At 49.1% G+C, this 16,647-nt stretch overlaps 1 protein-coding gene across 10 annotated transcripts in view, besides 1 other annotated feature; it reads right to left on the bottom strand.

Annotated features, from left to right (window-relative positions):
- CEMIP (cell migration inducing hyaluronidase 1) overlaps window positions 1–16,647 on the bottom strand; it is a 172,402-nt gene that overhangs the window by 23,707 nt on the left and 132,048 nt on the right. For all 10 annotated transcript variants that reach the window (XM_047432894.1, XM_047432897.1, XM_047432893.1 and 7 more), the window contains 5 exons: window positions 7,766–7,971; window positions 6,964–7,033; window positions 5,928–6,056; window positions 3,359–3,444; window positions 2,310–2,441 (listed from right to left, as the gene is read on the bottom strand). In XM_047432894.1, the coding sequence (XP_047288850.1) occupies window positions 2,310–2,441; window positions 3,359–3,444; window positions 5,928–6,056; window positions 6,964–7,033; window positions 7,766–7,971 (623 nt within the window). The remainder of the gene's footprint in view (window positions 1–2,309; window positions 2,442–3,358; window positions 3,445–5,927; window positions 6,057–6,963; window positions 7,034–7,765; window positions 7,972–16,647) is intronic.
- Window positions 16,084–16,599: an enhancer, noted in NCBI's record as "H3K27ac-H3K4me1 hESC enhancer chr15:81203807-81204322 (GRCh37/hg19 assembly coordinates)". NCBI's record gives its function as "activates a minimal SCP1, AML or CMV promoter by ChIP-STARR-seq in primed H9 embryonic stem cells {active_cell/tissue: H9 hESC(primed)}" and the evidence as "EXISTENCE:reporter gene assay evidence [ECO:0000049][PMID:30033119]".

The following is a 16,647-nucleotide window of genomic DNA, read 5'->3' as shown; positions in this document are numbered from 1 at the left end:
TTCCGTGGCTTTATATCCTTCATAGATCCAAGCTCAAGGGCCTGGTGAATCCACATCAGCTGCACCAGGCTGGTCCTGGTGGCAGGCATGCTCTCTAATTCCCAATGTACTTTTTCATATTCTGCTCACCCTCTTTCAGACACATGGACCTTTTTCTTTTTCCGAAGCCCATTTAGTTCAAATCAGTCATTCCAGTCCCATCATTAGGGCACTGTCTTATCCATTTATTTTCCCAAACTTCCTGAGTCTTATCTCCCAGGCCCCTCCATGGCTTTTCCTCATTGCTTCTGTCCCCCAGTGCTAGGCTCCTGGTCCCCTCATTCTTCCAATCCTTGAAGGGATCCCTGTCTTCTGTCAGCCCCGATTGCACCAACCTTGTCCACACGTAGGACCACAGCCTTGGTGCCAGGCAGATCCTAGGCTACCTTGGAATGAGTCTGGTGGGGGATTAAAAGACACACACACTTTGGCAGGAGGGGTCTTCGCAATTTTTCTTGCTGCCCTAAATCTGGCATTTACCATCTCTTAAGGGACCTAAACTCTGAAATGCCCAATAACCAGAACCAAGAGATTTACCGAACTTAGGATATTGCAAAGAATTTCGGCATTGACACCATCTAGTTTCTCTTCAACCCAGGGCTTCCACCCACCTTCTGTGTAGTGCCCCTCCCAAGGATGCTCTAGGGTCTGCTCTAGGGATGAGGAGCCTGGCAGCTTATCCCATAGATTGGTGTCTCATATGGTAGGAAGGTTCTTCCTTCTCCAGAGCTGAAACCTGCTTCATGCCTATCACTTCTGCCTTCTAGAGCCAATCAGAACAACCCTGCCCCCTTCCCCTAAATGCCCTTCAGAAACCCAGAATCAGCTCCCTTTTCTCCCTTCCCTTCTTCTTAAAATGAATGACTTCTTTTCTCCTGTGCAAAATGAAGGCCCTGCGGCTGGGCACAGTGGCTCACGCCTGTAATCCCAGCACTTTGGGAGGCCAAGGCGGGCGAATCACAAGGTCAGGAGCTTGCGACCAGCCTGGCCAATGTGGTGAAACCCCGTCTCTACTGAAAATACAAAAATTAGCCTGGCGTGGTGGTGCACGCTTGTAATCCCAGCTACTCGGGAGGCTGAGGCAGGAGAATTGCTTGAACCCAGGAAGCAGAGGTTGCAGTGTGCTGAGTTTGCACCACTGCACTCCAGCCTGGGTGACAGAGTAAGACTCCATCTCAAAAAAAAAAAAGAAGACCCCCCCCCCCCACCCGCTCAGTCTCTCTGCCTCTGTTTTTAAGTTTTGCTTTTTTGACTTTTTTAAAAAAAAATTTATTGTTTATTTTTGGCCACTGCCTGCTGCCATCCTATGTCCTTGCCTGGCTGGGGGACCCAAAAGCCTTTGCACCTCCCCTTCTCTGTCTCTCAAGCATCTTCCTGGGGCTCCAATGCTAAGTCAGTTTCTCCCCAGATCTCTGCATTTCTGAGCAGCCTTTCTCTCTCTCCCTTCCCTCTCTCTCTTGCTCTCTCTGTCAATGCTGTGTCTCTGCTTTTCTCCTCGCATTTCAATTTCTCTTGTTCCCTTTCACCTTTATTTCTCCTTTACTTGGTCACAATAAAATAGAGAAATATGTTTATTTCCTAATAGGTTTCTGATTTCCCATTTTTAACACAAAAGGCAGACAAGGAGACATTTCACAATACTCCCTGAAAACAAATCCCAGCTCCACTGCCTGTGCCTTCTGGTCCTTGTCCAGCATGTGCCAGTCACTCACATAGGGACCTCATATGAGAGCTCAGCGTTCCCTGCCTTTTTCATTTGGGTCTTGGAGTCCAGTGAACTGTGGCTCCAAGTTCCAGTTCAAACTCTAGCTAACTGCGTGACCTTGGGAAATTCACTAAACTGAACCTCAGTTTATCGTCTCTAAAATGGAGATCATAATTTATATGTTTGAGAAACATGGTAAGAAAGAAATGCAACCAAGGCTTTCACATAGTAAGTGCCTAGAATGTTCTGGCTTCTTTCTTCTTCCCTCCCTTAGCTGATGGTCCGCATGACCTTGAGAGAGCCAAGCCCAGTGACTATTTGGAAGCGAATCATAACCCACAGCACCTGGCACTGTAGGCTGAAGCCAATATGCTGCTTTTAGGTTTTGTTTTTTTTGGCCACTGCCTGCTGCCATTCTATGCCCCTGCCTGGCTGGGGGACCAGAAGGCCAAACGTCAGTATGTCTGGCTTCCCCTCTCTGCTTTGCTCTCCTGTCTCTGTAGGGGGCTAGGGGAAGACGCGCCATGCCCCCTTTGTGCCAAAGCCACACGCCGCTCTGACTCACCGGCAGCTGTCCAGCCACACATCCCCGCCGCGCAGCCAGGCCCCGTGGTCCTGGTTCTTGTAGGCAATGAAGTGTCTGATGATGGCCGGCTCCCGGGGCTTCAGCGGGTCGGCGTCCTGGTGAGGGCTGTATCTGCAGCACAACCATGGGGAGGGCACAGGTGGCGGTGTTGGGGGCACGCCTCTGCTGACTCCCTTCTGGGCTCTGTGAGCCTCTCTCTACTCACAGTGCCCAGGAAGGCATTGACTGAACAGAAACCCATTCGCATTGCCTGGGCTCTTGAATGAACTTTCTGAGTTCATCACAGAAGCAAGAAGTCACTCCTCCACCAGCCCATGCAGGCTCCTCACATACTGAAGAACCTGCCCCAAGTGGGGCCAAAACACAGAGGACAGTTCAGACAGCCATTCCCACAAAGTCATGCAACACAGTCCTCGTAGCCCAGGAGAAGAGTCTGGAGATACCCAGCTCTTCCACTAACTGGCAGGTCACCTTGAACTAGTGCCTTTTCTGAGCACTTCTTAGCTACAAAACGGAGTGCACTATCATGTTACCAGTGTTACCCACTTTTGATGGAGACCAAGCAACTTGTCTCTTTAAAGGAGATTGGTTTTGCTAATTACCTTGAGGTTTAAAAGTTGCCCCTGGCCTTCAGCTGAACAGTAGGCTTATTTATAGGCATGACTTGCATGTTCTTTCCCATTAAACTGATGGTAAAATTCTTCCCTTCTGTTCTCTTCATCTTTTCATCCTGGCCCAACCTACTGTGGCCCTGCTCATTTCTGCTGACTTACCAGCTATTCACTTTGCTGAGGGATCTAGAAACCTCTGGGAATTTCTATCTTCCTTTGGCTGCTGGAGCCAGAATCCTAATTCAGACTTTACCCTGCTCAGGTTTTCACCATTGTACCCCCAGCAACTAGCTCAAAGCCCAGCACAAAGCAAGGGCTCAACAGATGCTCAGGGAATGAATGAGTGATTGAAGGAGGGGGAGGCAGGAGCTGGACTGCAAGGTCACCGTGGACTGTGTCTTCCCAATGGCTGATTACCTGGCAGAGATGATTGAGAGGAACGGCCGCTTGTCCTTGGCAGAGGCCTCGGTGGTTTTGACTCCGTTGTCTATGATCATGCCAGCCTGCAGGGAAGAGATATTCAGGGACACATTAGTTTCTACTGTGGGCTACAGGCATCGTCTCACAGTCAGCCTCACTGCATACTTCTGAATGCTCCGGGAAAACCAGCTCTGTTCTCAGGCTGCATCAACAGAAGTAGAGGATCTACAGTAAGGGAGGTGAAGATGCTGCCTTATTCTGCATTGCTCAGACCAAATCTGGAATATTTGACCTCTTTGAGGAGCAGATTTGGAAACTGAGGTCTAGAGAGGTTATGTATGTTGTCCAAGGCCACATAGCAAAGTCCATGTGCAGACCCACACTGCTTTAGATAGTTATTAGCCCAGGCCCCAAGTCAGGAACAACAGGTATATACTCTTAGGAAATTTATCTGCTGTGATTTAAAGGAAATGCTGAACCTAAGTCCCATCTTTACCTTGGGCTGGGGTCAGTGACCTTCCCACAGTTTCATTTTAGCTCCTGCCTGTCTTGAAGAGAGAATCTGGCTTTCTTGTTTGACTCTAAACATGTCCACTTTGTCAGCCATGGGATAGGGAGAAATCAAGGCAGCTGAGTGATGCTGCCCAGGGAGGCCACCATTCAGTCTTCATTCCTGTCTGGATTCTCGTGGCCTCTTGTGAATGCTCATACTCAGATTTCTCTTTTTTAGATAACTGGAGGGCACTGTGGCCGTTTCATTCTCCCTCTGGCTTATAATTCAGCAGCGGTGATGTGAGTCCGATGATGTGGGGTTGACTCGCAGCTCTACTCCCACTAACTATGACTGGGCAAGTCCCTTCACCTCTTTAGCCTTAGTCATATCATCTGCAAGATGGGCTAGTGATACCTATGTCACAGGATGGTTATGAGGACCCAATAAGAGACCCCAGGTGAAGCCTCCTGGAACAGGTCCCTCTCACTGTGGATGTGGAGTCAAGGCTTACTGGGCATGAACACCAAGGACGAGACCTCCTCCTTGGCTTAGACAATCGAATCCATCCAGCTGGAGGTTCTTCTTCACTCCTTCCCTCCCTGCCTCAGAGAATGAGACCTGCCACCTTCTTCAAGGCCCATCCCCACCTGCACCCATGAGCCCTTGCATGCCTGCTTGTTAGAAACCATTCACCTGCATGCACTCCTCCCCTTTCCAGCCTCTCCACACCTGCTAGGTTCTATGTGGCCCACCTCCCTGCTCATGGAAGCCTTCCCAAGGGGTGCGTGTGAGGGGTTTCTCGACAAGCAGCCAACACATTCTCTCCACTGTTCCCCCTGCCACCAACAGCAGTATGCCCCCTGCACCTCCCTCTGTATGGAGATTGCTCTCTGAGGGCCATGTCAGCTTCAGAAATGCCCTCTCTGTTACCCGGCACTAATTCTCCTCTGTCAAGATGAGACTGTTGTCTTCCACACCTCTGCTCACTGCCCCATGACACTACCCTCTTTTCTAGTTGCTGGGAAATGACACTGCCTGGGGACTCTGCTTCTGTTTCTGCCACCCCACCCTGCAACTGCTTACCCCTTGCCCCACCCTATCTCCTAGGCATAAGCACAGGTCTATTCTGAGACTGCATCTCTTCCTTTTGGTCTTCTCTCTGGTTGGGCTTTTAAAAATCTTTTTACTTTTTGCCTCCGAATGTATTGTTCCCTTTGAGGAACGTCAGTTTTTCTTTATCAGTACCATTAGGGATTGGACCAGAAAACCAGCCTAGGCATTTGGGAGTCTGTCTGCGCACCGCCCTGGCATCCTTGAGACCACCTCTGCCCCAACAAAGAGCGTCTCTGGTCTCAGCCATGCTCCAAGCTCCAATCCCATGCCCCATGACTCTGGTCTTGACTGCTGTCCTCACTGGGAAGTCCTTGACAGACTCGAGATCCCGGTCATCTTGGTATGCCCTCTGTCCCCCAGTGCCTAGCTTGGTGCTGGACACAACGGCAGGTGCTTAGGAGATGTTGATGAGCAAATGAAGATGACTGAGGACTTTGTGTCCCACCTGCCCACTTAGCTCTGTGCAGATGCAGCAACCCATTCATTTCCCAAGAAACAAGACAAGAGGGAACAGCAGAGAGGATGCCAATGCTGCCTCCACCTTCCTTCAGAACCACGTCTTGATTTCCTTCAGCTTATGGATCAGGCCTAACTTTTCATAGTTGAGGCTACACCCAGCCCCGCCAAGTGAATTGCAAACCAAATTCAGGTGCCCAGCTCAGGGGCCACCAAGAGAAGCTCTCCCCCTGTCAGCATGAGTGAAGGCACAACTTGCTCCTTTTGGCTCTGGCCATATTCTCAGTCCATGCCCGTGCAGGAACCACCACAGGAGATTTGTGTTGAAGAATGTGGCCAATGGCCTGGGAGGCCTCGCAAGGCTGCTCCATTTTCTTCGAGACCAGCATTAAGAATGCAGTTGTTCCCAGCTGTCGCCAACTGGCTGTCCCGGCTCTAATCATCTGCAGGCCTGGGAAGGGGACCGAGAGGCTGGCCAGAGAGGCGCAGCCTGGAAAGACTTACCCGGTAGTTGGAATGTGCTCGGTTGTTATAGAATTTTCCCAGTGGAATGTGCTCTGAATAACCTGGGGAGTACATTCCCACGGAGGGGCCCGTTGGTACGTGGTGAAAAATAAACCAAAATCCAGTTTCCTGTTGGGGAAGGACACAAGGGAAAAGCCACAGCGTTCAGCCCCAGAGAGCTCCTGGGCAAGGTGGCCACGCGGCCCACGCCGGAGATGGGTCTAGTAGCTACTGCCGTCACCCACAGGAGCCCTCGGTGCCCACCCCCAACACACCTCCATGTGGTCCAGTCTGGGGGGAAAACAGTGAAAAGTAGAGCCCACCATGACAGTTAAAGCCCTTGATGGGCCCTACTCTATCAGACATGGCTCAGAAATGCTGCGTTTCAATCACTGCAGGGCTGAAACTCCTCTTCCTGACACACAATGGGGGGATTTCATGAGTGTTCTCTGCTTTCCCCTTCATTCTACAGATAAGGAAGCTAAGTTCCAGGTCAAGGTCAGGGTCCCATGGAAGGCCAGCAGCATGGACGGGTGGGTGAGAGCAGGGCTGTGTGGATGGAGTGCCGTGCTGCCACTCTGGCCACCACCTCCCAGCTACGTGTGCCCCTGGGCATGTCAGCTCTCCTAACCTTAGCTTCCTCCCCCATCAGATGGGGATAATAATAATACCTACGTCACTGGGTTCTTACAAAAATCAAATTATGTGAGCTTACAACACTGATGTGTCAGGTACCATTCTAAGCTAAAATCATGGCATTCTAATGATTTATTATACATAAAGCGTTCAGTGTTCACTAACTATGGTCACCAGTATTATGAAGTGACAGGGCTGTCCTTTAAAACCAAGTCCAAAGAACGCCCCCTGCCCCACCACCCCCAGTCTGTCGTTTTCCTCTTCACCACAGCTAAGCCCGTCTGCATGGATATCTGGGCTTGGGGCTCAGAGCACACATGTTTCAAGGTAAGCCTCGGCTGTCTCCCTGACTCCAGCCCCCACCCTCACTTTCTGCCAAAGAAGGAATATTTCTGCTCACCTCAGATCCTGCAGCGGCACAGTTGATGAGGTTGTTGTTGGGATTGGCCATCCAGAAGGTGGACACAGCACTGCAGGGAGGGCAGAGATACCTGAGATCAGATAAAGGGCCGCCAGGGGTCATCCTGCCACATGGCAGGTGCAGGTTGGGCACTCTGATATTGGCCTGATAGTCTCTTATCAGAGATCTGAGAAATCATTGACTTGTTGATCTGAAACCCAGTTTTCTAATTAAAGTGTGGTGCTAGTTTAAGCACTTAAAATATTCAGAAATTAAAAAGAGCATGGGTCCTGAAAATAGAAGCAGTGTGCAAGTGATGTCTGAGATTGACTCTAAAATACATGCAGGTCAGAAGAACCCAGGAAAGTAGCCCTTTCTAAGGGAGGGGCCCTGCACTTGGAAGGCTGACTGCACAGAGAGCTCTCACCCCGTCCCTCTGTCTCTCTAATATCTAGAAAAGGGTCTGTGTGGTCGGGGCCTCTGTGGCAGGCGAGGTGTCAGCCACTTCCTCTCATCAAAGAGCACTGTGTGGATCAGGAGAAGCCCCACAGATGAGAACAGGGATCCTCTTTGGACAAGAAAAATGCACATGAGGCAAACTGAGAAGGGAGAAGGGAGAAGACACCCTCCCTCCCACCTGCTTTGCAGGAAGCTGGAGCCGTAGGTGGTTAAGGGCTGTGAGGCCCAAGCTCCTCAGAGCCCCGAAGTGCAGAAGTCTGGTGCTGGGCTGAGCTGAGTGAACACATGCACACACATGTACACCCCTTCCCCCCAGCACACAGAGAGGGGTCCAGGCACTTACTTGCAGTCTTGCCTGGGCTTGGGGATGTACCCCGGGTAGGAGTCCTCTGTGATCATCTTGCACATCTTGCTGTCACGGTCCGAGGGGAGGAGGGTTCCAGACTTGACAAGGAGGCCAAGACAGTGGTCAAAAGTGTTGCGTTCCTCCGGCCCATCTTCCGTGAAGAAGCAGTGGCCCAAAGAGTTATAGCCCACAACGTCCTTGATCTGCAGGGGTCAAGACAGGGGTGTTTCACCAAGCATCCAGTTATTCATGTGCTCATTCATGCATTCAGCAAACACTAAATAGTCTCATGTGCTCATTCATTCATTCAGCAAACACTAAATAGTCTCATGTGCTCATTCATTCATTCAACAAACACTAAATAGTCTCAGCCGTACACCAGGCCCTGGGAGGAGCACTGGAGGTTTGGAGATGAAGATGACACAAGTGATAGGCCTGGGGAAAGTGGGACAAAGCATGGGATGGTGACTTTTTTTTTTTTTGAGATGGAGTCTCACTTTGTCGCCCAGACTGGAGTGCAGTGGCACAATCTTGGCTCACTGCAACCTCCGCCTCCAGGGTTCAAGTGATTCTCCTGCCTCAGCCTCCCGAGTAGCTGGGACTATAGGCACACGCCCCCACACCCAGCTAATTTTCTGCGTGTTTTCAGTAGAGACTGGGTTTCACAATGTTGGCCAGGCTGGTCTCAATCTCCTGACCTCATGATCCGCCCGCCTTGGGCTCCCAAAGTGCTGGGATTACAGGTGTGAGCCACCGCGCCGTGCCAGGGATGGTGACTTTTAAAAGTCCTTTCCAGCTGGAGGAGTTGGGGGTGGTGAGGCTCTATAGGGTAGGAAAGGGGGCAAGATATCATACGTGAGAAGGTGAATCCAAGAGGAGGCCATGGGCTGGGCCACGTGCACCCACCCTGATGGAGCACACAGCTGAGTGCCCTGTGTACAAGGACTTACCGTGGAGGGACTCCACAGAGGAGATCCCACTGAGTAAGGGTGGACGAGGGAACTTCATCTAGGAGCAGCACCTGAGCTGGGGCAGGTGTGCTTTTTATTAAGACCAATATTGATGCTCCTTATTGTACCCTCATTCAGAAATCCAAGCCAGCTTGTCAGCCCAAGACGTGCATCAAGCCACATTTGCAACGCCTGGGTTCAGAACTAGAAAGGGCTGCAAACTCCAGCTCTTTGGTTTCCTTCTTGGAATCACACAGTTAGTGGGGAAAGCAGAAAGAACATTTGCATGGATATTGAGATACCAGGGATGCAGTTTCAGCAGCACATCCAAGCAGCGCGGGGATCTTAGACAAGCCTCCTATCTTCTCTTCAGTCACTTTTTTTTCCACCGCAAAAATGAAGGACTTGAACTCCATGATCTCTGAAGCCCCTTCTGTGTCTGTATCTCTAAACTCATCAATCTCAGAACTCAGGTCTTCAGAGGGCCTGTAGCCTGGGCCCCACCCCCCTGTCCAATCCCAGACTCTGTTCCCAAGCATAACTGGCAAACAGGTACCCTGCTTCTGCTCAGACACTCCAGAGAGATGCTCACTTCCTTGCAAGGTGGCCTGTTCCATAGTGGGGCAATGGTGAGAAAAACCTCACTTATCTTACACCCTTCATCCCCACCCCTGGGTACAGACTGCCCGATGATGTCATCCACCAAGGGAGTTCCTGATTCCCGATGACATCAATTCAACCCACACCTATTCAGTACCTGCCACCATGCCAAGCACTGGAAAATCCACATACCGACCAGCAACAATCCTCCACCTACCACCCTGGCACTGTGTGAACATTTTGAGAGGCTGTCCCGTGATTGCAGGTTGTTTAGCAGCTTCCCTGGCCTCTACCTATTAGATGCCAGGAAAACCCCTTCAGTTGTGACAACCAAAAATGTCTCCAGACATTCATTGCCAAAAATTCCATTGGGTAGGAGGGAGGAAGGGTGACAGAATCATCCCTGATTGAGAGGCCCTGATGTAGACATCACAGTTCCTTCAAGTCTTTTTTTTTTCTTTTTTCTTTTTGTGAGACAAGGTCTGGCTCTGTTGCCTAGGCTGGAGTGCAGTGGCATGATCTCGGCTCACTACAACCTCTGCCTCCTGAGCTCAAACCATTTTCCCACCTCAGCCCCCTGGGGAGCTGGGACTACAAGTTTGCACCACCACGAATGACTAATTTTTGTATTTTTGGTAGAGATGGGCTTTCACCATGTTGCCCAGGCTGGTCTCAAACTCCTGGGCTCAAGCAATCCTTCTGCCTCGGCCTCCCAAAGTGCTAGGATTACAGGCGTGAGCCACTGCACCTGGCCCAGGGTCTTTCATATGACAGCCGCCTACTCCCCAACTCCCAGGCAGCCATTCTTTAAAAGGATCATCAGACCACACTCCATATCCCAGCAGTGGACTGGCCTCTTATACCTTTTAATCTTGCTGAAATCTCACACCATCCTCTATTCAATTTTAATTTTTTTTTAGAGACGAGGAAAACGAGACTCAGAGAAAGCAAGTGATTTGCCAAAGGTCACATAAGCCATATGTACAAGGTCAAGGCAGAAAGCATGGTTTTCTGTGTCCACTCACTCCATATGGGAGAACCCAACATACAAGCAAGTAGCTCTGTTCCAGGCAAGCTCTCTGTTCTTCTGAATAAACATCCTTCCCTTCATCTTTAGTAATAGGCAAGGGTGTGATCTTGAATCCTATTCACCTGTTTAATAAGTCAATCAATATCAAGGTCAGCCAATGGGACTGCTTTCCTTTCTCCTATTAAGCCCTAAAAGTTTGTTATAAATAGCCTGGACAGACAAGCATGGGAGAAAAAGGCAAGGAAATGTGGGCTTCCTGAGCTGGCCAGAACATCTGAGGTCAAGTTTAATGCCTCCAACTTTACAGAGGAGGATGCCAAGGCCCAGAGAAGGGATGTGGAGTGTCCCAGGATGCTCAGCAACCTCATTCTGCAGCTGTGATCAAACTCAGGCCTCTTGCCTCCTGCCTCCTGCCTCCTGCCTCCTGCCCATAGCTCTTTCTAAATCTTAGGGATCCATTTACTCTACTGTGTGGATCATACTTTGGGTAGTCTTTCTCTGAATAGGAGTAAACAATGAGTTAGGTATATTCCTATTCTAAAAAATGCCAGAGAAAAAAATTCCCTCCTGAGAGAAAAAGCCTCATTGAAAGGAAGAAAAATGACCGCTGTTTATTGGATACCAAATGTTTTTACATGTTGTCTTATTTAAACCTCATCACAACTACGATTCTATAAGTGACGCAGACTTAGAAAGTTGCCCCAAGTCACTTCTTTTGCATGGACCGAATTGGGACTTGATTCCCCATCTGTCTGAGTCCATAACCTGTGTGTCAATCAATACTCAACAATGCCAGAAAGAAAAAGACGCTCTCACTTTGGGCTGCATTTCTTTCTTCTCATTAGGAGTGGGGTGACGATGACACACAGAATCAAGAGGGAAGCATGATAAGGCCGAGGACAGCCCTCGGGTGGGGGTAGAAGACACAAGTTACTCAGCCACAAACTTGCTGTGTGTGACTTGCCTAAGTGTCCCTGTGTGATGGGATGACGTCTAAATTTTCTTCCAGCTCTAAAATTCTGGGATTGTTCCTCCTTAGAACATTACCCAGTGTTAAATATTTAAACTGTGACATAGCTTGAGATGATAGATGTAGATAGATGGATAGATAGATATAGATAGATGGATAGACAGATAGCAGATACATAAATAGTAGCTGCATAAACAAACATGCATATAGATTCACGGGTGGCCATTCAGTCCCTATGTATGCCAACCAGAAGTAATATGTAAGTTCTCCCCCCATTCTCTTGCACAAATTGTATTTTTCTCTTTGTCCTTCTGGATATCTTCCTTCCTGCTGATGGTCGGCAGTCGTGAAAGCAATTCCTGAACACTGTTTTAAGTCTTCAGTTGTTGTTACGTGTGGTCCAGGCATAAGATTGTGTAGGAGAAAACTCCTGGGCTCTGCCTGACAAAGAGCTAGAAAGAGCCAGTAGCGACTGCTTCAGTGGCGGGGGAGGGTGTGACCATTTTATTTGGTTTATGATCTGAACCAGGACACGTTTGAAGTGAAGGAGGTGTGATTAGTAGTTAAGCTGGGACAACACGTCTAAAATGGACCATTCTGTGCAAATCAGGACATATCTGTATGTAATGATTTCCACCATCAACCTGTATACAGCAAGTAAAAGAAACTGCTGTTTAAAACAAACAAATGCAGATAGAAGTGAACTTTACTTGTTTCTGCCTTCTAGGGTGGGTATGATATGATTTATGTTAATGAAAAACTCGACAACAAATACAGCCATGTTATAAAGAAGACTGGAATTTCCAATCTTCTGCCATTACTTTTTAAAAAATTTCTTTTTGAACTGCTGAAAAGAAGATTGCCATAGAGTATGGTGGTGGGTTATTTGTTTTACAGAGTGTCTTAATGAGTTTTTGAATATGCAGATTAAAACTGGGTGGAAGAAAAAAACCCGGACAACCAAATTACTCTGCCTAACAAGGACAGGAATGAGTTTCTAAGGCAGCCCAGGAGAGGTGGGGAGGAGGATGGGAGAATGAGGAGGAGGGGCAAGAACTCAACAACCAGGTTGGGGAGGGAGTAGCCTGGGGGGAAGCGTTTGGTCTATAGAGGGACCTGTTACTCCATCTCTTAGTGTTGGTTTCGGTGCTGATCTGTAATGTACCCCCTCTCCCTCCCATCTCTTACCCCAATCTACCAGTAAAAGCCCTGGGCCAATGAAACTTTTGTGGAAATCAAGGACAAGAGTCTGGGTTTCATATTTGGGCTCATATGGAAAGGAGAGATTGAAAATGCCTTTGCAACAATTATAAGAGTTAGAAAATTATGACAGTGAAAGAGATCTGACCTAACCAACTCCATCTTGCTTCTAACCTCCAAGCTATCCTTGGTCATTCCTGGGCGTAGGCCAGACTGACTTTGGGAGGAACTTAGTTTATAGTTTAACTTTGAAACAAAAACGATAACCGTCCCTTCCCGAAACAAACCCCCGTCTTACGCAGGGACTAAACTGCTTTTGTAGGACTAACAAATTAGCCACAAGATTAGAAATTATGGTTTAGGAGTCATGTAGCTAGAGGCCACAAGATTCTGAACCTCCCCAACTGCTCCTGGGGAAAACATCACTATTGTAAAACCTAAGATTAGTGCTTGAGATATTTTTCAGATCTGGCACTAAATGGACCAGCTAGTGCCTCCCACATTGATAAACTGGCTCATCTGGTCTTGTGGCCCCCACCCAGGAACTGACTCAGCACAAGAGGACAGCTTTGACTCCCTATGATTTCATATCCGACCCCACCAATCAGCACTCCCCCTTTCCGACCCCCTAACCATCGAATTGTCCTTAAAAACCCTGATCCCCCAATTTTGGGGGAGACTGATCTGAGTAATAAAAAAAACTCCGGTCTCCCATACAGCCAGCTCTGCATGAATTAAACTCTTTATTGCAATTCCCCTGTCTTGATAAATCAGCTCTGTCTAAGTAGCAGGAAAGGTGAACCTGTTGAGCAGTTCCAAGATGAGAGCAGCTACATGAATCAAGAATTGAGAATGTGAATTCAAGAAACTGAAAGAGGGAGGTAACCAGGAAAAGCGGAAGCTTCTCCCACAAATCCCAGAGCTTTGAGTCCAGGAGAGAGGGCCCTGGATTTCCTGCCAAAGACACAGGGGGCTCAGCCATCTTTCATAGAATGCCAGAGGGAGGATGTGTCCCTGGGGCTGGGGCACCTGGGGACTGGCTGCAGTCCATATAGATGGCACCCCTGGAGCAGTGCAGGGCACAACCTGCAGGGCCACATGTGGCAGCCTGTTGGGGACATCCTGGTTTCAAGCATCTTGTGGCTATTGGAAGCATTTATGTCAAAGATAGCACATTTTGAGCAATACACGAGGAGGAAAAGAAGGAAAGAGCATGGTATCTTCTCCCATTCTCTGCCTTAAAGAGGGAAGGGAGGAGGAAACAAGCAGAACCCATATTGAAGTCATTTTGTCCTTCCACAAAAGTACTGGACCATTCCATTACTTTCCTTCAGGAAAAACAGGAAGGTGAATCCCCCTATGTCCTGCCTCAGAGTTCAGAAACACATGTTAAGATGAAGTGGGGGCCCATTTTGCATCCCCCACCCCCACTATCCAGCCTACAGATACTGTAGAGCCTTCCTTTGAAGGCAGACTGCACCCCACATCTGCCTGCATCCTGCAGCTTTGGTGCTAACCATTGCATTTCAAGAAAGACACCACTGACAGTATCAATGTAGTGAGAAGCATTTTCCAGTGCTTCTCTGTTACAAACTGTGTTACGGAACACCAGCTCTGTAAGATGCGAATGAGTTTAGGCATCGCTAGGATAACCAAAGCTAAGCATGTATTTTTATTGCAAGCCTTTACTCTGCTAGCACGCATCGTGAATTTCCAAAACAGGGAAAGAAGGCATGTATGCTGTGTTTGCCAAGGTCATTTAACTACAGAGGCCAGTGTCTTTTTGTTTGTTTGGATACTTGCTACTATCTCACAGAACCAGCGATGTTTACACAGAACACAGTTAGATACAGAGGCACACAGTGATACTATTTAATAAGCAATACTATTTAATATCATTGCTGACCATATCACATACATTATCTGGTTTAATCTTCCTAAAGACCCTTTGAACTCAGTTCTGTCATCATCCTCCCTTCACACAGGAAGGAACTGAGTCCCACAAAATTTCCATCAGTCCCCCAAGGCCATACTGGCAGATGAAAACACAGGTCTCTGTGACTCTATGCTCTTTTACCTCAATGTTCTACTGAAGCCCACAGTAACTGTTATATCAAGAAAGAGTTAGGAGTTGAATGAAGCAGGAGAGACAGCAGTGGGTTTGCTGAGCTTGGTGGTGACATTTTGAATGACATTGTTGAGAACCATCACCAAGGCTCAGAGAGAGCAAAAGTTGAGAAGGCCACATTTGTGTCAGGACAGGAGTAAGAAGCAGGAGTTGGAGGAATTTCAGACCACCCTTCCCAAGAGTTGGTGGTGAAGAAAGGGAAAGAGCAAAGGTGGCTGCCCACGGGGGAATTAGGGATGAGGGAAGCTGTCCTCTGAGGATAAAGGATATCAGAGCCTGTCTACAGGCAGCAGGGAGAGAGGAGCTCATGAGCTAGGGGCTACCAGGACACTGTAGGATCAGCCCAGAGCCAGGCTTTAAGGCACTCTCAGCTCTGCACACCTACAAATCCCTCTTTCTCCCGAGCCAGTATCTGCTTGTCTGGAATCTCTTCCTCCTTCAGATCAGGGATGCTGTTTAGGAAAAAGGCTTCTGTGATGCTACTGAGTGGCCTCTGCATTCCAAATCAGGATCTCGTCTTTGTCTGTATTTGGCCTCTTTTTGTCCCATCAGCTAAAAACATCTTTCCAAACATAGTCAGCCGTGAGTAAATCCTTCAAGCCAAAATGAAGGAAGCAAATGTAAAATACTGATGGAGATCATCCAGTTCCCAAGGCAGCATCTCCGAATGTGGAAATCTCTGCCCCAGTGGCGGAGCATTTACAGGGTGAGGTGCCAATCCATAAACCCAATTCCCATGCGGGGGATGGCTCTTGGAGATCTTAGGGAAGGGCACTGGAATGTGCTCCATTACCCTGCTGTCTGTCTGGCTTAAAGAGTTAGAGGCCTGCACTTCATCTAGATTCTAAGCCAGGACAATTTGGTTTTACCTTGGGAAGGCCTCAAGGCCTGCAGACTCCAAATCCTAACCCACCAGCTTGGCCATCAAGCTGAGTGAGGCTGGACCTCTATGTGGCCACCAAGACCAGGCTGTAACTGGTACCTCAGCCACCTAGTGTCTGTACAATGGCCCTCCCAGTTTGCAGCTGGCATCCCTGAGACCCAGGCCGGAGGGAGACCTTGGCATACAGGGCAGCAAGGGTCTTCTGGTTCTGAGAGGTTGTCCACAGCTCTGGCTACAAGAGTCCACCTCCACTGTGGGTAGAAGTGACCCACGTGGCTGCTCCAGATACAGCTCCATGGGCTACCCCTGAACTGCTGCCTTCCCTCTTGCCCCACGCATCTCTCACTCCCCCAGCCTATCTTCATGAACTCACACTCCTGGCTCAAGGCCTATGCCATCTTTCCCAGTCTTTCCCAGTCTCTCCCAGCCTCTCCCAGCTCTCCCAGCCTCTCCCAGCTCTCCCAGCCTTTCCCAGCAATCTCAGCCTCTCCCAGCTCTCCCAGCCTCTCCCAGCCTCTCCCAGCAATCACAGCCTCTCCCAGCTCTCCCAGCCTCTCCCAGCTCTCCCAGCCTTTCCCAGCAATCCCAGCCTCTGTCAGCTCTCCCAGCCTCTCCCAGCAATCCCAGCCTCTCCCAGCCTCCAGCCCTGCCAGGATGCTCACTCTCAACACTGCCCTGCTGGGTGTCCTAGAGTGCCCAAGGCCTATGCCCCTGCCACCAGCCATTCTTGTGCCGCTTCCCCCTTTTTGAGTCCATTGCTGCAGCTAAGACCTGGGCTCAGCACTCTGAGAAAGGTTTGCTATTCCAAAGACAGCCAAAAACATTTCACAGGCATTTTCTAACTGAACCACCCTGAGAGGAAGCCATCACATTCTCCACAGCACGTGTGAGGAAACTGAAGACCTGCCTGGTCAAGTAGCTTGCCAGTGGTCACACAGCAAGTGAGTGAGAAAGCACAGCCACACAACCACACTCCAGGGTGTGTGTGTGTGTGTGTGTGTGTGTGTGGTGTATTTTCCCTGAGATTCACAACAGCTTCCATTCAAACTGCTCCAGATCTGTAATTACAGGCTTCCAGTAATCTTAATATCTTTCTCTTTAGTAAAGTTAAATGTAGG

This window comes from Homo sapiens, chromosome 15, assembly GCF_000001405.40.
Source record: "Homo sapiens chromosome 15, GRCh38.p14 Primary Assembly".
Lineage (NCBI taxonomy): Eukaryota > Metazoa > Chordata > Mammalia > Primates > Hominidae > Homo > Homo sapiens.
This window is presented reverse-complemented; position numbering and strand designations above follow the sequence as displayed.